The sequence below is a fragment of the Homo sapiens genome, chromosome 5, assembly GCF_000001405.40.
Source record: "Homo sapiens chromosome 5, GRCh38.p14 Primary Assembly".
NCBI classification, from domain to species: Eukaryota; Metazoa; Chordata; class Mammalia; order Primates; family Hominidae; genus Homo; species Homo sapiens.
This window is the reverse complement of record NC_000005.10, coordinates 81,463,884-81,488,240: the sequence shown is the minus strand read 5'-3', so window position 1 is coordinate 81,488,240 and position 24,357 is coordinate 81,463,884. Positions and strand designations below refer to the sequence as shown.

Below are 24,357 nucleotides of genomic sequence, written 5' to 3'. Positions count from 1 at the left end.
TTCAAGGTATATATTCAAAGGAAATGAAATCAGTATCTTGAAGGAATATCTGCATTCCCATGTTCATTACAGCATTACTCAAAATAGCCAAAATATGGAATAAACCTAACTTTATCGGTGAATGAATGGATATAAAAAATGTGGTGTGTGTGTGTATATATATAATATATGATATTTTATTTATATATATATATATATATATATATATATATATATATATATATATATATTATTTGGCCATAAACAAGAAGGAAATACTGCCATTTGCAACAACATGGATGAACCTAGAAGACATTAGCAGTGAAATAAGTCAGACACAGAAAGAAAAATATTGCATGATCTCACTTATATGTAAACTCTTAAAAGGTCAAACTCATAGAAGCTGAATAGAGCAGTGGTTGCCAGAGGCTAGAAAGTCAGGGAAATAGGAAGGTGTTGATCAAAGGGCATAAATTTTTGGTTTTAAGATGAACAAGTTCTGGGAATCTAGAATAAAGCATGAGTGGTAATGGATGTGTTATAATTTGATTGTGATAATCATTACATAATGTATAGGTATGTCAAATCATCACATTATACAACTTAAATATATAGAATCTTTGTTAATGAAATATTTTTTAAAAAATAAAGTTTAATAATATTAAAAAAAGAATAGCAATAAAATTTTCCATGAACATACTTTTGTTTACTTTCATATTATATGGTTTCAATATCATGGCTCTAGCATTCATACAAATTTTATCCAATTATAATGGCAGGTTAGGCAAATAATTAGCTGCTTCTAGAAGAGATAGATCTGTTAATAAATATTTACCAATAAAATCTTCCAACATTTTAATCTACAAGAGCTCTAAAATTTCATGTTTTGTTCTCAAATAGCTTTTTATTAATATCATAAGTATTTATTTGCTGAAGAGAATAAAATACAATTTTTACTCACAAAGAGTTTGTAGTTTAGTTTTAGGATACAGGCACTGTATGTATATAACCCGAGAAGAAATTAAATGCTTAACACTATGGAATACTTGTGTCAAGATAATTGTCTTGTCACTTTCTCTAATTCTGTTGTTTGTATACCTAGCTTTATCCCATATTTAAGGTAAACCATGTTATTACAATAAGTTCTCTTTTTCATTCATACTGTCTTTTCATTTCCACTTTCTTCCTTACCAGAAATGGAACAAGAAAGTTAAAATTACTAATTTACTTGACGGCAGCAGAATTCTGCTTCTCCTCTCCTAACTCTTACTGAAATTATGCTATCTTTGAGGTGTCTCAATCTGCTGGTGCTCTCTGCTTCTAGTGCACAGCAGAAAGTGCCAGCACTCAGATTCACCCCCAGGGGAGAACTTTGAGTAGGAAGCAGTGCTGGGTCATCTCATGATAACAGTGCTTGGCAGTCTTTCTCACATTAGCAGCTGGAGCATTTTTCTCCTATAGACCAAATCTGAATTCAGTACATCGGGGCAGGGGAAGATGGCATAAAATAGGAAAGAGAAGTGCACAGATGCCAAGGGTTACAACATACGGGAATTTTATTTTCTCTGTGGGTAAACCTGTATATATTGACAGTCAGATCTACTTATATAGGTGCCTGAGTCTTTTAAATTTCTTTTTAAAGAAATGTGCATCTCTTATTGGAGGCAGGCTTCATGGTTTTTTAGACATTCCGTCCATAGCTTTGTATATTATATAAGTCTAGGAAGCGCCTAAATATCTGAATTAGGGAAATGTGAAATTCTAGTATAAGTGTGTTATTAGAATTTTTGACCTCATATATTGTGTATCAATGTTGAAAATGTGATAAAATTATTGGAATTGTATTCAAGTGACATTATTGAATGCCTGCCATGTATAAGATACTATCCTAGGTTCCATATCCTAGGTTCCGTAGAGACTAACAAAATGAACACTTTGAAGACAAGGTTGGTGGTGGGAATGTAAAATTGTAAACCTAGTTTGTTGACAAATTTTACGAACAGGTATTTAATGTCTTTGAATTTTCAAAAGAGACAATTAAAAAGTTAAAGATAATAAAAAGTTTTTATATAGGCTCTCTTTCCTCAAGAATCATAAATAGTCTTTACCTAAATGTATTTTAAAACAATTGTACTCTTCTCTCAGGGATTCTTTTTGTCCATTCCCACCACCACTCCAGTGCACACACATACATACACATTTAGTTAAGCTTCATTAATTCAAACAGCTATCATCCAAACTTATAATAATTTACATTTCTACTATTTTTTAAAAAAGAGTTGTGTTAATAATATAAATAATATTGTTTTAGGAAATGTTTAACCTAGTTAGGAGCATGAACTTTTCAAGCATAAACACGGTTTCTCAATTTTGTTATGTAGTCATTAAAGTAGAATGGGCAAAACTATTTTTGGTGATTAATTGGAATTATGTAGATAAAAACACAAATGTGTCCAGGCATGGTAGCTCACATCTGTAATCCCAGCACTTCAGGAGGCTGAAGCAGGAGAATCGCCTGAGCCCAGGAGTTTGAGATCAGCCTGGGCAACATAGGAAGACCTGGTCTCTAAAAAATAAACAAATAATAAAATTTTAAAATCCACTAATGTGTTTATTTTTAAATTTAGTTTTCATATTAATTGGTCATAAACTAATGACGTTATGTTTTATTAAGAGTTTGTATCTAAGGAAATAGAAATAGTAACCTCTTCAGTAGTGTTGACTAATCATTTTGAATATGTAAAAGACATCTCTTTAATAAACAGATTTTACTCAATTTGTAATTACTAATGATTAGACTACAGATTTAAATTTGAGTTCCCCTGAAACCATTTTTATGGTTCTGGATTAAATCCATAAGGGTGTATATTCTTTGTATATGTATAGCACTGGGTATTGGAATATGATATAATGTCACTATGTTGTAAAAATATAGGAAGGGGTAATAATGTCTAAAATGATGAAAGGAAAATAAAATTACAAAACTGTGCAATATAGCAGAGGATAAATATATATGACGAAACATGAAACATAGAAGTTAAATCTACAAAATATATTTGACTATACAATTTTACACTGGAATTGGTTCAACTCTCAGAAGGGATCTTTGGTATTGAAGCATCTGTAACCTGGAACCGAGCAAGTCTTTATCCTTCCCATGGATAAAATATGCAATCAGAAAAATTCACAGTATTCATTCAACACTATCTTGAGGAAATCAAGACAGCCCGAAATACAGATAATGTTAATGATATGAGTGACACCAAAAATAATTTAACTATAGATCTGTTGATCCTATAGAATTCAGAAACTTTATCCTCTGTTTCTTCAGATTCCTGAAACACTGTCAACAGATATATGGAATGAAAAACATTGTTAATTCTGTTGCCCATTTTGTACTCTAAAGTTGAATTTGGTATTCTACAAACACACTACATCTGACCATTCTACTGAAATCTTCAGATATTTGTGCAATAATAGATGAGTGGTTAAGTAAATTATGGTATATTGAAATGATGAAATAGTATGTACATATTAAAAATCATGTTATAGAATTAAATTTATTGAGATGATAAAATGTATCTGTTTAATATGTTAGTGATTAATGATTAAAAGCATAAAGTAGCCTCTTTGGCTGGTTTAGAATACCCCTTTCTATTATTGGGAGCTCATTATTTTTTATTTTTATGATAATTACACTAAGATTTAAATTATTATTTCAAATCCAACATGGCAAGATTAAAATATAGTATTTTCTTATGACTTTGAATTTTGAGTTTATCCTGAGATATATATCTTTTTCTAATTTTGTTCTACCTTTATAGGGAAAATTAACAAACAAATTTATTTTTATCCTTCTCAAACCAAGAAAATTTTGCATAGTGAATTCTATTCAGTCTTACCTAATTTAAGTTATAGTTTTATGAAGGTTTTTGATACAATTAAGTTATAGTTTTATGGAGGTTTTATGATACAATGTTCACTTCTTTTGCCAAAACATACCTCATTATCTTATAGTCATTTTGTCATAGATATACCATTTTTGGATAAGTCAATACATAGAATACGTTGCCATATATTTGGATAGAAACTTCACAGGGCTATCCAAAATCACTCTCAGAAATATTGAATCATTCAAGAGATACTTGTTGAGGTTTACTGTGTCCCAGGTACCATCCTAGATGTGGGGGATACATTGGTGGACAAACTAATGAAAATCTCTCTTGTGGAGCTGACATTCTAATGCAGCACTGCCCAATAGAACTTTCTGGGATGATGGAAATATTTTATACCTGCATTTATCATATGCAGTAGTTTTAGTACTTGAGCACTTGAGATAGGACTAGTGTGAGTGAAGAACTAAATTTTTAATTAAATTAATTTTAATTAAATTTAAATTGCTGCATGTGGTAAAGAGCTTTTAATTTGAACAGCACAGTTGCAGTTGTTGAAATATAGAAAAAAGAAAAGTATAAATGTGTGTGTGTGTGTGTGTGTATATATATATGTCAAATGGTGAGTTGTGCTATAGGGACAAACATCTTCCTACACTTAATTTAATATCTTCTGTGTTGATATTGTCGTTTTAGAGGAATAAAATGACAGTGGTGTTGAAAGCACCTAAATGCGTCTGGCATCTTAGGTCCAAAAGCCAGCAATGTATAACTTTGAGCAAGTCGCTTAGACTTTCTGGGTTTTGGTTTTCTTACCTGTAAAATAGGAGTGGATGTGGGTATTTCTAAAGGCTCTTCTAGTTCTGATATTTAATTATATCATTATGGGCCCATAAAAAATTTGGTTCATCAAAATTGTTACTGAATTAAATCTTAAAGCTTTGAGAAATTCACCATTTTTTCAGCATCAATGAGCATTTAGTCTCCATGAGTGAACTATATAATGGTAGTCAAGGAAATACACAGGCATACCTCATTTTACTATGCTTCACAGATATGTTTTTTACAAATTAAAGTTTTATGGCAACCCTGCATTGAGCAAGTCAGTAAGTGCCATTTAGCCAACAGCATGTGCTCACTTTGTGTCTCTGTGTCACGTTTTGGTAACTCTCATATTAAAATTTTTTCATTATATCTCTTACAGTGATCACTGATTTTGATGTGACTATTGTAATTGTTTTGGGTTGCCACAAACCGTGCCCATACAAGACAGTGAACTTAATTCATAATTCTGTATGTTCTGACTGCTCCACCGACCAGCCACTCCCTGATCACTATTCCTCTCCTTGACTTCCCTATTCCCTGAGACACAACAGTATTGAAATTGGGCCAACTGATAACCCTAAAATGGCCTCTAAGTGTTCAAGTGAAAAGAAGAGTCGCACATCGCTCACTTTAAATCAGAAGCTAAAAATGATTACATTTAGTGAGGAAGGCATGTCAAAAGCCAAGATAAGCCAAAAGCTAGGCCTCTTGTGCCAAACAGCAATGTTAGGAATGCAAAGGAAAAGTTCTTGAAAGAATTAAAAGTGCTACTCCAGTGAACACAGAAATGATAAGAAAGCAAAACAGCCTTATTGCTGATAGAAGGAAGTTTTTATGGTCTGGACAGAAGATCAGACCAGCCACAATATTCCCTTAAGCCAAAGCCTAATCCAGAGTGAGGCCTTTAGTCTCTTCAGTTCTGTGAAGACTGAGAGAGCTGAGGAAGTTGCAGAAGAAAAGCCTGAGGGCGGCGGGCAGAGATTTGTTCATGAAGTTTAGGAAAGAAGCTGTCTCCAGAACACATACACTCAAGGTGAAGCCGCAAGTCCTGATGATTCTACTGCAGAAAGTAACCCAGAAAATCTAGCTAAGATAATTGATGAAGATGACTACACTAAACTGTTGGAAGAAGATGCCACCTAGAACTTTCATAGCCATAGTCAGTCAATGCCTTCCTTTAGAGCTTTAAAGGGCAGGCTGATTCTCTTATTAGGGGGTAATACAACTGGTGACCTTAAGTTGAAGCCAGTGCTCATGTACCATTCTGAAAAATCCTTGGTCCCTTAAAACTTATTAAATCTGGCCAGGTACGTGGCTCACATCTGTAATCCCAGCACTCTGGGAGGCTGAGGCACATGGATAACTTGAGATCAAGAGTTCAAGACCAGCCTGGCCAACATGGTGAAACCCCATCTCTACCAAAAGATACAGAAAATTAGCTGGGCTTGGTGGCACACATCTGTAGTCCCAGCTACTCAGGAGGCTGAGGTGAGAGAATTGCTTGAACTCAGGAGGCAGAGGTTGCAGTCAGCCAAGATTGCACCACTGCACCCCAGCCTGGGCAACAGAGGGAGACCCTGTCTCAAAAAAAAAATTTTATACTAAATCTACTCTGCCTGTCTTTTATAAATGGAACAACAAAGCCTGGATGACAGTGCATCTTTTTTACAGCATGATTTACTGACTATTTTAAGCCCAGTGTGGAGACCTACTACTCAGAGAAAAAGATTCCTTTATTTTTTACTACTCCTTGGTAACACATCTTATACCCAAGAGCTCTGATGCAGTTGTCCAAGATTAATGTTGTTTTCATTAGTCTTGGACAACTGCATCAGAGTTCTTGGGTATAAGGTAACACAACATCCATTCTGTATCCCATGAATCAAGGAGTAATTTTACTTTCAGTTTGTTTTTTTTTTTTTTTAGATGTAGTTTCACTCTTGTCACCCAGGCTGGAGAGCAGTGGCGCAATCTCGGCTCACTGCAACCTCCACCTCCCAGGTTCAAGCGATTCTCCTGCTCAGCCTCCTGAGTAGCTGGGATTACAAGTGCCCACCATCACACCCAGCTAATTTTTTATTTTTAGTAGAGATGGGGTTTCACCATGTTGGCCAGGCTGGTCTCGAACTCCTGACCTCAGGTGATCCACCCCCCTCGGCCTCCCAAAGTGTTGAGATTACAGGCGTGAGCCACTGCACCCGTCCAGTTCTTACTATTTAAGAAATATATTCCATAAAGCTGTAGCTGCCATCTGTAGTGATTTCTCTGATGAATCTGGGGAAGTACATTGAAAACCTTCTGGAAATAATTCACCATTCTAAATGCCATTAAGTCCATTTGTGATTCATGGAAAGAGGTCAAAATATCAACATTAATGGGAGTTTGGAAGAAGCTGATTCAGACCCTTGTGGATGACTCTGAGAGGTTCAAGACCTGAGTGAAGGAAGTCACTACAGATGTCGTGAAAATAGAGGGAGAACTAGAATTAGAAGTGAAGCCTGAAGATGTGACTGAATTGCCACACTCTCATAATAAAACTTTGACAGATAAGGAGTTACTTCTCATGGATGAGCAACAAAAATGGTTTCTTGATATGAAATCTACTCTTTCCTGGTAAGGATGCTATGAACACTGCTGAAATGACAACAAAGGATTTAGAATTTTACACAAACTTAGTTTATAAAACAGCTTCAAGGTTTGAGAGCATTGCCTCCAATTTTGAAAGAAGTTCTACTGTGGTATCAAACAGCATCACATGCTACAGAGAAATCATTTGTGAAAGGAAGAGTCCATCGATGCAATAAACATTGTTATCTATTTTAAGAAATTGCCACAGCTGGCTGGGCACAGTGGCTCACACCTGTAATCCCAACACTTTGGGAGGCCAAGGCGGGTGGATTTCTTGAGCCCAGGAGTTTGAGACCAGCCTGGGCAATATGATAAAACCTTGTCTTTAAAAGAAATTGCCATAGCCATCCCAGCCTTCAGCAAACACCACCCTGATCAGTCAGCAACCATCAAGACTTCTACAAGCCAAAAGATTACAGCTAACTGAAGCCTCAGATGATTATTAGCATTTTTTACCAACAAAATATTTTTAAATTCAGGTATATACATTGTGTTTTTAGACATAATGCTATTGCACACCTAATAGACTACGGTATGGTGTAAACAAAACATATATTCACGGGAAACCAAAAAATTCATATGACTCACTTAATGTGATATTCACTTTTATTGCATGGTCTTGAGCTAAACCAGCAATATCTCTGAGGTGTGCCTGTACATCAGTTCATAAGTGCATAGCGAGTCTTGCCATTGAAGTTATGATGCATTCTTTGTGAACTAAATAATTCTTTTATGAAGCAGGCAGTTCCCCCATTTAATTATTTGTTTTAATAAATTTTTATACTATTTCATTTATTTTAAATCCCTAGGATTTAAGGCACATCTTTCAGAACTTTTGGAATATGTTAATCCAATCTTGAGCCCTGACACTGCTACTTGTGAATAGTATAACTATGGAAGACAGAAAATGGTGAAATTAGTGAAAATTAGTGAATACCTGGGGCTGGTGAAGGGTGCTGGTCATGGGGAATGGGAAATGACTGTAGGTGGGCAATGTTCTAACATTAGAAAATGGGCAAATTTTGTGGTACTTAAATCATGCATCAATAAAACCTTTTTAAAAATAGCATAACCATGGACAAATTAACAAATTAGTTACATATTAAACCTCAGTTTTTTATCATTAAAAAGGATGAATAATAATAACTTTATAAGATTGTTTAAACATTGAAAGAAATACTAAGGACTTAGCACAATTCCTGGCGCAAATGCACTGGCTCACAAGTGTGTGTTACCATGGATATTTTGTTTGTTTTTATTAAGTACCCTCCTCATTAGTGTTATTTTTTTCTGCCAGTGTGTAGATCTTTTGTAAAACAAAGCGGCCGGGCACAGTGGCTCACACCTATAATCCGAGCAGTTTGGGGGAGCTGAGGTGGGTGGATCACTTGAGGTCAGGAGTTCAAGACCAGCCTGGTCCAAAATGGTGAAACCCTATCTCTACTAAAAATACACAAATTAGCCAGGCGAGGTAGTGGACGCCTGTGATCCCAGCTACTAAGGAGGCTGAGGCAGGAGAATCACTTGAACCTGGAAGGTGTAGGTTGCAGTAAGTGAAGATCACACCACTGCACTCCAGCCTGGGTGACAGAGCGAGACACCGTCTCAAAAAAAACAAAAAAAAGAACAATGCATGCCAAAATTTGTGACTAGTTAAATGAATCCGGGTGGAATACCTTTAACATGTTATAAATATAGAAATAATATGTCACAGATGTATACATTTTTCTGATATTAAAGGTTTAAAGAATGCAGTGATTACATCACTGTTGATGCGCAAAGCTACTATCTGGTCATCCCAAGGCTGATAAAAATGTTTTAAAAGTTAGAGACTTGACTTATTCTAAAAGACAAACAGTGATGAGTAAAAAGTTAAATTTAGATAAAAACACTCATTTTGAAAACCAATTTGATGTTGGTTAAGACTTCTGTAAGATTATGCCATATTTTTAAGTGATGAACAGAAACAAGAAAGGCTTGTCAGTTGTTCTGATATTCAAAGATATACTAGAAACAGTAAAGTTTTGAAGAAAATGGTTGCCACCAGTGATAAAACATCATTGTCTATAATGAGACAGAAGTTAAGTGTCAAAGTTCAGAGTGTATAACTCTAACCATTTGGAGACTTAAAAAAAGCAAGAATCTGGCCAGGCATGGTGGTTTACACCTATAATCCCAGCGCTTTGGGAAGCCAAGGCAGGAGGATCACTTGAGGCTAGGAGTTCAAGACCTGCCTGAGCAACATAGTGATACCCTATCTGTATAAAAAAATAAAAATAGGCCGGGTGTGGTGGCTCACGCCTGTAATCCCAACACTTTGGGAGGCTGAGACGGGCCGATGATGAGGTCAGGAGTTCAAGACCAGCCTGGCCAACATGGTGAAACCCCGACTACTAAAAATACAAAAATTAGCTGGGCACGGTGGTGGGTGCCCATAATCCCAGCTACTTGGGAGGCTGAGGGAGGAGAATCTCTTGAATCTGGCAGGTGGAAGTTGCAGTGAGGTGAGATTGCACCACTGCACTCCAGCCTGGGTGATAGAGTAAGACTCTGTATCAGAAAAAAAATAAATAAATAAAAATAAAAAATTAGGCAGGTGTGGGGGCATGCATCTGTAGCCCCAGCTGCTCGGGAGGCTGCAGCAGAGGATAGCTTGAGTCCAGGAATTTGTGGCTGCAGTGATCTATGATCACACCACTGCACTGCAGCCTGGGCAGCTGAGGGAGACCTTTTCTCTAAAAAATAAAAAAAAGTTAATTTTTTTAGAAAGTAAGAACTTTAAGTTCACAATTGAATATAATATCAATTAGTCATACATTTTTAGTCCTCCTCCTACATCATTTATTTATAACTTTTGACAGTGTTGGCTACTTTTTCCTTCTTGAAACTCTCCTCGGGCATTCTGAGATGTTGGTCTTAGTCTCCTTCCTAATTTCATGCCTATTCAGTTTCAGTTTCTTTTTTTATTTCTTGGTATTTTTAAAGAATTAAATCTTTTATCTTCTTACTTCTCATTCTTTGAACTCTGTTTCATTCTTATGACTTTATCACTAATGATTCCTAAAATTGTCAGTCTAAACCCTATTCCTTTTATTCCCTCAATACACATTTATTATTCTGTGACAGTAGGCACAGATAGGGTCCCTACTTTTGCGGAGTTTACAGTCTGGAGATACAGAGAAGAAAACAAGTCATGGTAGTATTTAAGTTCTCTGAAAGTGAGGTATATGATCCTATAAAAACACATGAAAAGCCCTTACCTTCTCTGCATTGCCAGGACATGGCGGGTGTGGGGGGTGGGGCGGGGGGTAGCCATGCAGAGATGGCAAGATGAAGTGGCCAGTGTGGTTGGGAGACTGGTTATATTGAACAAATAAATACACTGATTGAATAAATACATAATTGTATTGAGGAGTAATAAGTAACTAACATAGGCCGGGTTTCCCACTGTTGAAGAGGAAAATACTTACAAACCTAGAAAGGAAGAACACTAAAAATAATCCTGAAGTATCAGATTGGAATTGGAGTTGTTGAATTGATGTTGGAGAGTATGCATTTATGGTAGGTGTATATGCTATACACACACAAATAGACATAGAATTAGTCACAGATCCATGCGTGTGCATATATGCATGTACATATACACCTGCATAGATTTCAAGCTTGGTGTTTACTGAGAGAGCCTAAAAATGATGCACCCAAGTAACAAGAACATCCTGAGAAGCAAGATCTTTATGCCTAAATGCTGTCCTCCACTAAAAGGAATTAAGGCCCCTTGGGGAAAGAGCTGATTCCAAGCCTAGGTCAGAAGAAGTATGAGGTGAGCCTGGAACATCTTATGCCATAAATTAAGGAAATGCTCAAAAATGGATGTGGGTATGTTACACACACACAACACACATACACACACACACACATACACACACACACCTGAAGGCTTCTCACTAGCCAAATCTGAGATAATTTGACTATTGAAATAAATGATGATAGTAATAGATTACAACCCATTGAACAATATAGAAATCTATGACTGAGTAAATAGGTGAATAAATAAGAAAAGCTTTTCCTTATAGTGAAATACCAACTAATAAATATAAAAAGAATGATGGACATGGAATGTCTCTATTTGACAGTTATCATAGTGGTTAGTTGTTAGTGGAGGCTACAGCTGATGGGTTGATAAAGGATTGTTGAGGAATGGAATATTGACAATCTCAGAATAGCTCTTATACTAAAAGTAATCAATTACTGTGTAGAAACCTGCAGACACCAGCACATTCAGATGATAAAGGTTACCATCACCAGTAGTGGGATAGATCAACATAATTTGCCCTCTAATGTGATACACTGAGAAAGGCATAGCATCATTTCTCTGGTATTCCTGCTAAGAAAATATAACTAGATCATAAAGAAACATCAGACACCATGCTGTAGAATTTAAGACCTGTTCTCTTTAAAATTGTTGAGGACATGATAGGTAGGGATAGAATAGACATAGATAGGAACAATAGGAAATGATTCCTGCTTAGAAGAACATGAAGAGACAGGACAACTAAATGTAACATGTCTTCCATGATGTTCTGGTACCAGAAAGAAAAAAGAAACATTATTGAGACAAATGGCAAAATTAATTGAGATCTTGGACTTGGATGGTAGTGTTGCTGTCAATGTTGATTTCCTGACTTGAAAGGCTGTATGGTGGTTATGTAGGAAATATTCTTATTGGGGGAATTATACTTTGCAGTATTTAGGGGTAATGAGGTATCATGTCTTCAGCTTGCTATTAAGTAGTTCTGAAAAAGATTTATGATAATAGATATATATTTATAGAGAGAAAGAAAAGGAGAAAGGCTGATAAGGCAAATGCAGTAAAAAATATTAACAGTTGGCAATCCGAGTCAAGGTATTTGGAAATTCTTTGTGCAGTTTCTGGAAGTTTGAAATTATACATGTGAAATTATACATGCATGCACACACACACAATCTGGGATAATTCCTCTGTGTGTATGTGTATACACACACAATTATTCAATCAGCATATTTATTTGTTCAATATAACTTGCATATGTATACATACACACACACAAATGGAAGGAGGGCTTATCCCAGATTGAGGCTACAGGGAATAATTTTGTTAGGAAGTGATCCCTAAACTGAGATCTAAATGATGTCAGCAATAACTACTTAAGGGTCTGTAAGCTTCGTGAGAGGAGAGATTTTTTTTCAGTTTAGTTTTTATTTTGTCTTGTTTTTAGTGGTTGGCATTTAAACATTGTTGATTGAATGCATGAATAGGAAAAAAAACTGAAAGAAGTTTGATATGGCTGGAAGTTAGAACATGAGCATGAAAGTGGCAAGAAATTAGGCTGGAGAGGTAATCTGGGAACAGATAATGTAGTAGGATCTCAAGAAATATGTATTTGGTGTGCTTATAAGCAAAAATTTTGAAAAACTACAAAAATGACTTGGGAAATGGAAGCTACCTACTTCATCCCAAGTGATAACAATTTAGGAAACAGTTCTGATCTGGCCATGTAAATTATTTAATGTTAAATTTCTTTTGAAATAGTTGCATATGTTAACTAATTAGATATAACTTTCATGCTTTAAGTTAAATTAGTGAATTTTTTTGGAAATTCTCACCAGTTGTCAGGATTTTATGTATATGTGTATGCTTATATACTTAAGATCAGTAGGTTTAAATCATTTATACCTTAATCCAGCTTTAAGTACTGCTGAGACAACTGTTAGAAACTTATGGTTCAGTATATATCCCAGGAAACAAACCCTGTTACGTTCATATCTACCTTTGTCAGTTCTACTTTCCCTTTTCCGTACACGCAAATTGCTTAATTTATTTTTATTTTAAGTGTTATTTCGCTAAATAATTTCTTAGGGAAACTGTGACTACAAAACAATTTTCATTCGTCCCTTTCCATTTTCATCCTGCTGCTATGTAATCTCAAATGAGTAAGATATTCTGTAGAAATAGGGAATTTACATGTAAGAAGCAAAATTAGTTATTTCAGTACTCTTAGTAAATTAATTTTTGGAAAAGGCATAATACTTCTCAGGAAGAAATAGGACAGTTTTTGCGTAGATCTTTGCTCCCTGAAAATACTTATTTTATTTGTCACAAAATTGGGCAAAGTAGAATCTTTTTAGAACTAAGAACTTATTTAAGGTATATAAACCTGCAAAACTTATAAATGAATGTGAAATATAAGAAATCTTGAGAAATACTCAAATGCATTCTTGTAATTATCATACAAGCATTTAAAAGGAAATTGTTAAAAAACTTATTTTATAAATATTTACAATATTGCTCTTTATTTTTCTTAATAAATTGCTAGGCACTTGGAGGTGTCCCAGGAAGTCAGCCATTACTCCCCAGTGGAATGGATCCAACTCGACAACAAGGTGACTACTCTAAAGTAAAAGGAAAATTGATGTGCAGAACCATAGAGGAAATCTTTTATCTCTTAAGGAAAATTGTATTTGTATAAGTAAATCTCCTATAGTTATACCAGTTGCATTTTTCTAAGTAACATAGCCAAATGATTTATATTTCCAGCTCACTTAATTATGCATGATAGTGAGGGTAGTGATAACATAAGAAAAAGAATACATGAGGATCCAAAAATCCATATTTTAATTAATAATTCTAAAACCTTTTATATAACATCTAACAAGTAGGAAGCTAAGTGATAATATCACTTATTATTTCTTTTGCCTTTTTCAGATAGAGGCCTTAGCCCATCTGAAAGATGAGCAGAGGGAAAGAAGGTGCTAAGCAGCAAGGGGCCTGATTAGTTTAACAATCTCAATAACCAAATCCCTCCAGAGATACTTAGGAACCACAGATATGTAATGCTCTATTGTACTGTTCCATGGGAAGAGGAGCAAATGCTGTTAGAGAATTAATTCACCACAGAATAGGGAGAAAATTTCAGTCAAGACATTAATAGAGGGTGTGGGTAGGTAGTGGTAAGAGGTGGAAAAGTGGTCTGGAAGCCAAGGTAAGATGGTGTCAGTACTCAGACTCTTGGTAAATGAGACAGTAACACCCAGGAGGGAGGAAGCTGCTAGCCTCTGGTTTAGTACTCATGCTCATTACTTTGCTAATGTCTTCATACTTTTTTTAGGACATCCAAATATGGGTGGGCCAATGCAGAGAATGACTCCTCCAAGAGGAATGGTGCCCTTAGGACCACAGGTAAATAATCAGTGCATATTTACAATAGCAAAGATATGGAACCAACCCAAATGCCCATCAATGATAGACTGGGTAAAGAGAATGTGGTACATGTATACCATGGAATACTATGCAGCCATAAAAAGGAATGCGATTATGTCCTTTGCAGGCACATGGATGAAGCTGGAAGCCATCATCCTCAGCAAACTAACACAGAAACAGAAAACCAAACACCGTGTGTTCTTCCAACAAGAATTTATGAACACAGGGAGGGGAACAACACACACCAGGGCCAGTCGGGAGGGTGGAGGGCAAGGGAAGGGAGTGCATTGGGACAAATCGCTAATGCATGTGGGGCTTAAAACCTAGATGACAGGTTAATAGGTGCCGCAAACTACCATGGCGTACATATACCTATGTAACAAACCTACACGTTCTGCACTTGTATTCCGAAACTTAAAGTAAAATAAATAAATGAATAATAAAACTGAACACTGAGAAAAATCAGTGCAGAAACCTAGATGCTGAGCTTTTTGCCTCCTTCACATATGTAAACAAACTATGTTATTTGCTGGCTATGAGAATATGCATTACAGACTTCATGTAACATAGTTGTTAGACTCATGAGGCCATAACATTTGTGACATGCCAAATCGGTATAACAACAAACCATACTTTAACAGTGTGCTGTCATTTAAGCCTTTAATTTATTTGAGAAAATACACTGTATGGAAATATATTATAATTACTATTCAAAAGGTAACTGTTACCCTTTTCTTAGTCATGCTGAGGAGATGGTTAAGTTAAATAAAACCCAGTTGGCTGGGCGCAGTGGCTCACGCCTATAATCCCAGCACTTTGGGAGGCCAAGGCAGGTGGATCACTTGAGGTCAGGAGTTTGAGACCAGCCTGGCCAACCTAGTGAAACCCCGTCTCTACTAAAAATACAAAAAGTAAGCCAGGCGAGGTGGCAGGTGCCTGTAATCCCAGCTACTCGAGAGGATGAGGCAGAAGAATCGCTTAAACCTGGGAGGCAGAGGTTGCAGTGAGACAAGATCGCGCCATTGCACTCCAGCCTGGGGAACAATAGCAAAAACTCCGTCTCAAAAAAATAATAAATAAATAAATAAAACCCAGTTGATTGAAAATATTAAAGAGTAAGTATAAAATATATTTCCATAAATCTTAAAGACTGTCATTGACAATTTATTCTTTACAATCATATTTCATTATAGAATGGGAAAACAGTAGAAAACCATTTAGAAATAAACATTAAAATGGGTCTTATTGAACAAGCATAATACTATCAGTATACATCAGATGTTAGCTGACTTCTCTATAAAATTTCCCAGAAGTATACACTGAGGTTGAACCTCTCCTAGCTGTTGGTGACATTTTAAGAGTGCTGTTCCAGGATATCATGCATTTTAGCTAAAACATCCTTTGTCTCTCTTGGGAAAGCTTCTTGGGGTAGAAATTAATTTTATAATGTCATTTTTCAAAGAAACTAATTTAAAATCCAGAATTTTAAATTTCTACCTCGTGGGTCAGAGATTAACATGTCATAAAGCTGGTTAAAAGAATGAACTTATTCATTTCTCCTTTCCAAGAAACAGCATTATGAGCAGTACTTTAGGAGCTTGTTTTGTATATCTACTTTTTAAAAGTTAAATTGATGTTTTGTTGTGCTACCAACAGAGTAAAAAAATTGAGAACTCAGCACCCAGATAATATGACTTAGACCTACATACAATAATATATGTTGTATTGTATGTTTGTATTGTATATATGCATTGTTTCTAACCAACATATAACTATGTATATTGACTATATTGAAACAAGGGGTTCATTTAGCCAGACTTTTTGGAGATGCCATATTATAGGAAAAAAAAAACCCATATAAATACAGTTCCAAGGAAAGAGGAACAAATGGTGTCACGTAAATATATGTGGCAGCCTCAAAGCCAAAAGAAACCAGTTTCTTTTATTTAGGCTCAGTTATTTTCAATGGATTTCCTTAAGAGCTAATAAAACCCTCATTTAGATATTTGAATTATTCTTACCTATTTCTATTCATATTAGGAATGATGATACATGTTAACCAATCATCATTAAGCTATTAATAATAAGACTGCTTAAGTTCCATAGGTATTTTATTGGCTAAGTATACTTTTAGTCTTTAATAAACTAAGCCAACCAATCTGGCTGTTAAAGGATTTTTTTCCAAAAGATTTTATTAATAAATACATTTTAAATATACACAAAAACTTTGTGCTTGTAATTTAGTTATTATTATTTATTCACTTATTTTTCAGCTAGCTGCTCTTTAAATGTTTATCATCTCTGTTATTAGTATTAGATTTTAATACTTCAAAAACTAGAATCTGATTTAAGAATCAGTTTTACAGTATTTACAGCACAGTAAATTACAACAGAAAATAAGACAGTTTCTATTTCTGGTAGGCTCTTATTGATGAGTTTTAATAGCTAAGTTTATTATATGTGTCAATTCTTTAGATTTTTAAAACCAGAGAAAGTGGTTTATTTCATTTGGATTGGCAGTGTTCTTACTATTTCTATATAATATGATGGAAATTAAGTGTCCTGGTATGAATTTACCTCAGAAATAAGAAATGCCTACAGTAACTTTTTAAAATCACAATATAAAAAGTATAAGGATTAAAGGAAATTATTTATACATACATATCATATGTTTAAATGAAAGCAGGAGTCATATTTATAAGATAGTACAATAAAAAAAGGTCAGGTAAAATAATTTGGAATCAGGGGAATCTTATGACGTATTTATTTCATAAGACCTGGTATATTAAACATATAAACATATACATTATAAACTGTGAAATTTGTGATAATGGTTAGCTGTGTTTCTTGAGAGATAATGGAAAAACAACTCTCATAACAGACATTTAATCATACAGATGCTGTCCAAGAGCAGAAGATATCTGCCTTATTTTTAGCTGTATTGTAGAAAAAGTCTGAAATATTGTCTCTAGATTTATGCACAAACAAAATACACATTTCTTTTTTAACATAGATGTTACTTCCATAACTTTTTGAGCTTAAGATCAGTGTGGTACAGGGGGACAGTAGTTATCTATTAGAACAACTGAATTCCTAAAACAAAGAAATATGTAAATCTAATTATTCTTAGATTATGTTGATTTGAGCAAAGTGCACACATAGAATATAGTTAACATGTGATTAATACTTAATGCGTGTATGAAGAAATAAAGGTTTGCCCCAAATCTAGTAGGCATATTTTTCCCTACCCCTTAATCTATTTTAAATCTAAATACAGTGGTGGTACATTATTTTTAAAGTGAAAGTATATTAGAATCCTTTCAATAAAAAAACAAAACTACCTATTTAATCAAGAAAAATATCTTTTCTAATATCATATATGAAACCAGTTTTCTACTTGGTTTTGTAATAAGATGTACTTAGCTAACCTGTGTTTTTAAGGGCAGTAAGTGCCACGTGATTAACCAAAACTACCCAACTAGTTTTAGCTTCTCTAGAAATCTGAAGGATAAAGAAGTTATATACAAATAGAAACTTATGATTTCCAAATAAGATACTTGGAGTGGAAAAATGGTGAGGTGGCAATATATGTATGATAGGCTCTCATGTAAGGAAAAAGTAAACTGATTCTATATTTTCAGATCTATGATGGGCAGTAGAATTTAGCTCAGTACAGGGAAGAACTTTCTAGAAATTAAATTTCCCAACCATGGAAAGACTTTATAAACTTTCCAAGCAGAGTCTGAACAGCCATTTTGTCAGAAACATTGCAGTGGGAGAGAGATTAGACCAGATGGAATTGTATAGTTGCCATCAGCTTTAAAATTCAGTGATTCTAAATTAGGTCTTCCCATTCTGCCTTTGTTGCTAGCACTTGGAAAGCAAGTTGTTATTCTTTCTTTTTGCTTTAGATTATTCACTAAATGAAAATATTTTGCAAATCTATCAAGCATATATTGAAAAATTTCTTATTCATTTCCTGGGTCAATTCAGTTGAACTAGCTCATCATTCATGGAAGGCCTACTGTGTGCCAGGCACCATACATGAACACTGGGTATACAAAGATGAGTAACATAGATATGCTGCCTTCAAGGTACTTATTATTTAGCAGGAAGTATAGATACACAAAGAAAAACTGTTATATAATGGGGAAAGTCTAGATAATAAATTTACATACTTTTTGTGGAGCCATTACATAAAGAGGCAAGTAATTCTGTTAGCGTTGAGGGCTATGGAAGCTAGTGAAAAGAGGACTCATTTAAGTTGGTTTCTTATTAACAATGGTAAAAGAAAAAAAAAGAGTTAGCAGTTACAGTTTTTGAGCACCAAATATCATGCTTTTAATTCACTAAGTACTATGATAGGTGCTTTATATTTCATTTTATTCACCAACAAGCCTATAAGGGAGATAATATTATCACTTTACAAATAAGGAAATTAAGATCAGGGTATCATTGGGAGAATCATTTGCCCAAGATCACACACAGAGAGATGCAGAGGCAATGGGGCAGTGGCAACAGAGATTCAAACCATTGTCTACCTATGTCCAAAGCTATAAGGAAAATTAATGGTTTCCTTGATAAAATAAAACAGAGATCTTCTAAGATCAAAAATGAGGGGAAATAAAACAGAGATCTTGTAAGACCAAAAAGGAGGGGAGACTTTTCTTGTGAAACATTTCTATTATATTTTACCATTCAGATTTTGTTTGCAATGACTAATCTTTATCTCAGAGACCCCCTTGCTAGTACTGCTGCTGCCACCACCATGCCTGATCCAGAGGTTAGGGGAAATAGCTATCCTTTTAACCAATGTCTCAAGTGTGAACAGAAATCATTCTATTGTCCCATAGCTCACAAATTTGGATATTTAAATGAGATTTCCTTAAAGTAAAAGTAAATAAACAATGAGAATAGCATGTAACTAGGTAATGTCATTTATCAACTGTAGCTTACACTCTGGAGTCAACAGACCTGCTCTCTTTGATTTATTTCCTTGTCATCTGAGCACCTACTACTTAAAGGCCAGGGAAGATGAGTTAACATGAGTATAAAAGTCTATTATGTGTTTCTTAACTTAAATCCAGTAGGTTGGAGGGTATGGTTGGGAGTAGGGAATAAAGATGAAAATTATAGAAAATGAGGACAGGAAAGATAGGCTGGGGCTGAGCCTTGAATACCTCATAGAGCCACGCTGAGAAGTTTAAACTTATTTGACAGGTAGTGTGGGTCATCATAGCTTCTAAGTGACATGAGTAGGACTGAGTTTTAGAAGGATAGCTCCTGAGGCAGTTTGGAGAATAGATTGGGAGCAGGAGAGACTAAATCAGAGAAACAATTAAGACAGTGCAGTAGTCTCAGTAAGTGACAAAGATTAGTAATAAGAGGAGAGAACTATTTCAAGAGCTATTTCATAGATAGAATCAATGGACTTTGGTAACTGACTGGATATGGGAATTTGAAAGAAAAGGAAGAAACATCAAGAGCTCCTGGAAATTCTTAGCTTGGGCTATTGTGTGGAAAGTGATAGCACAGAAGTGACGAGGAAAGCAGTACAAAGAACTCAGTCATGAGAAGATAATATTGAGTTTACTTTTAGATATGTTGTGAGTAAGATGGTATCCAGATGGAAACAAATCCTATGAAGTTCAACGTATGAGTTATCTGGGAGCTTAGGAAAGACATCATGATCAGATATAAAGATTTGAGATTCCTAACATATAAGTAGTTGTTGAACAAATGGTGGCAGATAAGATTACTCATAAATGTGTTTTATTGAAAAGAGTGCTATAGCTAGAACTTGGAGAAAAGCAACATTTAAAGGTTTAGCAAAATAAAAAGAGCTAGCAAAGGAAATTGAAAAAGAGTACCCAGAAGAGTTGGAGGAATATTGGTATCAGAAAGCCAAGTGTGAAAGTTGTTGATAATGTCAAAATACATTAAGATAATAGTGATAAAATTAGCCTTTTTGTCCCTATGGCAACTAAACTAATCTAATAACATGTACATGTTAAAACATTAAAATGTTTTTATCCTTTGAATGCACATGATAGATATTAACAGAAGCTGATTGAGTCATATAATTCATGCATACGTATTTTGAATATACATTAGTTTTTATACTTTTTGTGTATTTGTATATTAATGCATTTCTGTGTTGGACATGTTATTTTGTGAATAGAAGTTTGCATTTAACTTTCTTGTGTTGGGTTCACCTGTTTTGTTTTCTTTTCGGACTTTATGTCATTGTGCTGGGTCTGACAATTTCAAACATTGAATCACTCTTTCAAAATTGAATTTTGGATTTATGATATGTTTCATTTGAAAATGTTTACTATTGTACATATCTTAGGATATTAATAAAATATATTGAAATATAATTGCAGCCATACCTTAATCATTTAACGTGCTCCAGTGATCATACATATTCACATGGTTTTAAAAAGACATAGACCAAAGTAATTGCTAAAATAGAAGCAAAAATACAAGAATGGACCCCTCAGAGAATGAATTACACAGGCCTTATCCAATTGGAGTTATGTAGGGAAATCATTAACGTGCTCTCCTTTCTTTCCCCCCTCCTCTTTGGTTTTGTTTTTTTGTTTTGTGGTAGTCTGACCCTTGGTTATCATTACAGAACTATGGAGGTGCAATGAGACCCCCACTGAATGCTTTAGGTGGCCCTGGAATGCCTGGAATGAACATGTAAGCAATGTTATATCATATACTACATTATTACGTGGATGATATTTTATATATATAAATAATACCATATTATTCTATTTAGTAAAGTGTTCTATTTTCTGGCCTCTAAAATGACGTTAATTTGTAAAACAATTTGAGCACCACAGTCTCTGTGTGGTATAAAAATGAACTAAACAAGAGCTGTAGTGTTTGCTTCATTTTCACAACATAATCTCTTATGTTTTCTTTGTTCCCTTGCAACCTTTAATTTTTTTTCATTTTCAAGTGCTATAAATAACAGCTTTTAGTCTATTTCATTTTGATAACTACAGAGTCTCCATATAGTATATAAAATATGAAGAGATGCTAACACCAGGACTTTGACTTAACTCTGTAGAAGTAGATAATTGAATACGGTTAACCTCATTTTTAACAGATACATAGTGATTCTATGAGTGGAGTTTTTAACTCATAAATACATACATATCTCTACTTTTGCTTTGTTGGGACTACTGTCAACACAGGAAGAATTCTCTCTGGTAGTATACTATAATCTCTATCAAAGAACTTTCCGTAGCGTAGGATGAATTTTGTTTTGAAAAATTCCAGACACATTTAGATAAGGAGTAAACTAAATTTTTTATTGGAATGGCCTTTCCAACCCAAAGAGAGTAGTTTGTTTCTATCAGCCAATATAATGTAGTTTGTTAGGAAATTTTTCTTTTTCATTATCCAGCTTGCCCTCCAAGTCTTATATACACAAGGTACTTGTTAGTGACTTTCATTAATTCACAAGAGGATCAGTTTCATGATGTGGCCTAAAGAAAATTTACCAAAAGTAATGAAAGTGTTCCATATAGGTTTGTGGGTGTCTCCTCAAGTGTGTTTCCATCAGTTCGTGTTTTGATTACTTATATATCAAATTAAACAACTCTGCCATCATTTAATGGCATTGAAGATACACTGTGAAATAAGCTCTTTTCATCTATGCAGGATTTTTTTTAAGTTTCTGAAGCCATTTTCATGGAAAGCAAATTTGCCTGAAATAGAAAATAGGTTAATAGGTGGGTACCAGCTAGGCTTAAAACTAACAGAGCAGGAGGGAAAGTAGGTCAGATTTTCCTATCACATCTTTTTACTTTTAAAGTAAAAATGGATACACATGAAATCCGACTCTTCTTAAATTCCTCAAAGGCTTGGCCTTGTATTAATGGTTGCTTCAAAAAAGAGTGAATGGCATTTTCTGCTTATTATGTCAAAAGCTGAAGCTCTTACCAATAGGATGGAGATGTATATAAAACATACCCACATGAGATTCTTACTTTAAAATGCAGATTTTAAGGGGTATGATGTTGAATACCATGTATAAATGTAAGGAGTATATATTTTGAATACTATGATCACCCCAGAATGATCATTCAATAAGAATGTATCTAATATCATTTGTACATTACTCTGCATTATAATTGATCATACGGCCAACTTTAAATCCACTTAGTTTTCCCTGTTCAGAGAAAAAAATTGTTTCTATGTGACCATTGAGAGATTAAAATAACTGCTTCCAATTGTCTAGTTTCTTTCCCAGATATACTTAAGCATATACATGTGCATGCATTTAATTTCCTAGACTATGGAGACTAAAAATATGGCTGAAATTTTTAATATGATTACTTTTTGTTGATATTTAGGTTTGGGTGTCTTATTTAAGTTTAATCCCTAGATACTTTTAAGTATTTTCAATTACATCATATTTTACTATTAATATAATATCTTCTTTGTAAAGAACCTTTAAGCCTTACAGACTCTGATCTCCATTTTTTTGTTACTGTTTTCTTTTATGTAAGATCCTATACCATTTTTAGTTTTCTAAAAATCAGGATTCCTTCAAGGACAATGAAATGTAAATATTTACATTTTTACACTTGTAAATATTTTCCTCTAATAGGGAAACTTCTCAGGTATGAATGCTCTATAAGAGTGTAACTATTATATTGATATTGGCCCCAAAAAAGCAAAGGTTTGTTTAGAGACATAAAAAGTGAAACATATTATCTCCATTGCACTCAATAGGGTAAGCTTTATTGAAATTCACTTTATAATGTATTATCTTTAAAACAAAGTCTAACTGTAATGCATACACACAGTATTCCTAACGTATTTGTAGCTTCATGTCATTAAGGAATTTTGCATATTCCTTAAAAATGGAAGAAAAAGGCATTAGAAAGGTGTTACCTTACGCTCTGTCTTGAACTAACTAAACTATTTAAGTAACAAAAATATTTATGTGTTAGGAGGAGCATGCCAGAGACTCATATCTGGATAATTTTTCTTTAGCTTGTCATTTTTTCTTATTTGCCATGAGAGTATGATGACAATAAAAAATTCCCAACCCTGGTCACTAAAGTAATTAAAGACTATATTCTAACTGACAACTGTATTTCTTTATTGCAGAATAAATCATTCGGAAGTAAATTTGGTAACCTTATTGTTTAAAAAACTTTGTTTTCATGCTCTAAACTTAGGATAAATTATATTGTGTCACTGAAAAACTTACTTTCTATGTTTCTGTAACCAGTATTGTATCTTAGAAGCCAAAACTAAATTTAAGTAATTTAAAGTAGCATTTATAAGTTATGGCCAAAATATAATTTTCTAATGCATTGTAGATTACTGTTTAAAGGAAATTTGAATAATCATGTATTTCTAAATTAAATACATTTTTATAAGTTTCCAAAGAATTTAGGATTTAGTATTAAAGCACCCCTAACTCAACTTTGTATACATTACTATTAAGCAATACTACGAGGCCAAAAGGATTTCAGAGGATCTTCTTATTCTGTATTATATCCTGCAGAATTATGAAGTTTGTGTAGTTATTATTTTGAAATAAAATGATAGTGAATTACAGAAGAAAGAGGATTTTTCAGGCCAAGCATGGTGGCTCATGCCTGTAATCCCAGCACTTTGGGAGGTCAAGGCAGGCGGATCACTTGAGGTCAGGAGTTTGAGACCAGCCTGGGCAACATAGGGAGACCCCATCTAAACTAAAAATACAAAAATGAGCTGGGCATGTTGACAGGTGTCTGTAATCCCAGCTTCTTGAGAGACTGA

The 24,357-nt window shown here is 34.4% G+C and overlaps 1 protein-coding gene across 91 annotated transcripts in view; it reads left to right on the top strand.

Moving 5' to 3' along the window:
- The window catches only part of SSBP2 (single stranded DNA binding protein 2), a 339,004-nt gene that overhangs the window by 263,567 nt on the left and 51,080 nt on the right, over positions 1 to 24,357 (top strand). For 54 of the 91 annotated variants that reach the window (NR_174563.1, NR_174539.1, NR_174553.1 and 51 more), the window contains 3 exons: positions 13,679 to 13,745; positions 14,471 to 14,541; positions 21,200 to 21,267. The exons of 1 other annotated variant lie outside the window; for it this stretch is intronic. Coding sequence is in view for 52 of the 90 variants with exons in the window: in XM_047417066.1 (XP_047273022.1) it covers positions 13,679 to 13,745; positions 14,471 to 14,541; positions 21,200 to 21,267 (206 nt within the window). In the remaining 38 variants the exon portion in view is untranslated. Of the gene's footprint in view, positions 1 to 13,678; positions 13,746 to 14,470; positions 14,542 to 21,175; positions 21,268 to 24,357 lie in introns of all 91 variants that reach the window. 36 more of the 91 variants (NR_174559.1, NR_174533.1, NR_174560.1 and 33 more) reach the window with 5 other exon arrangements.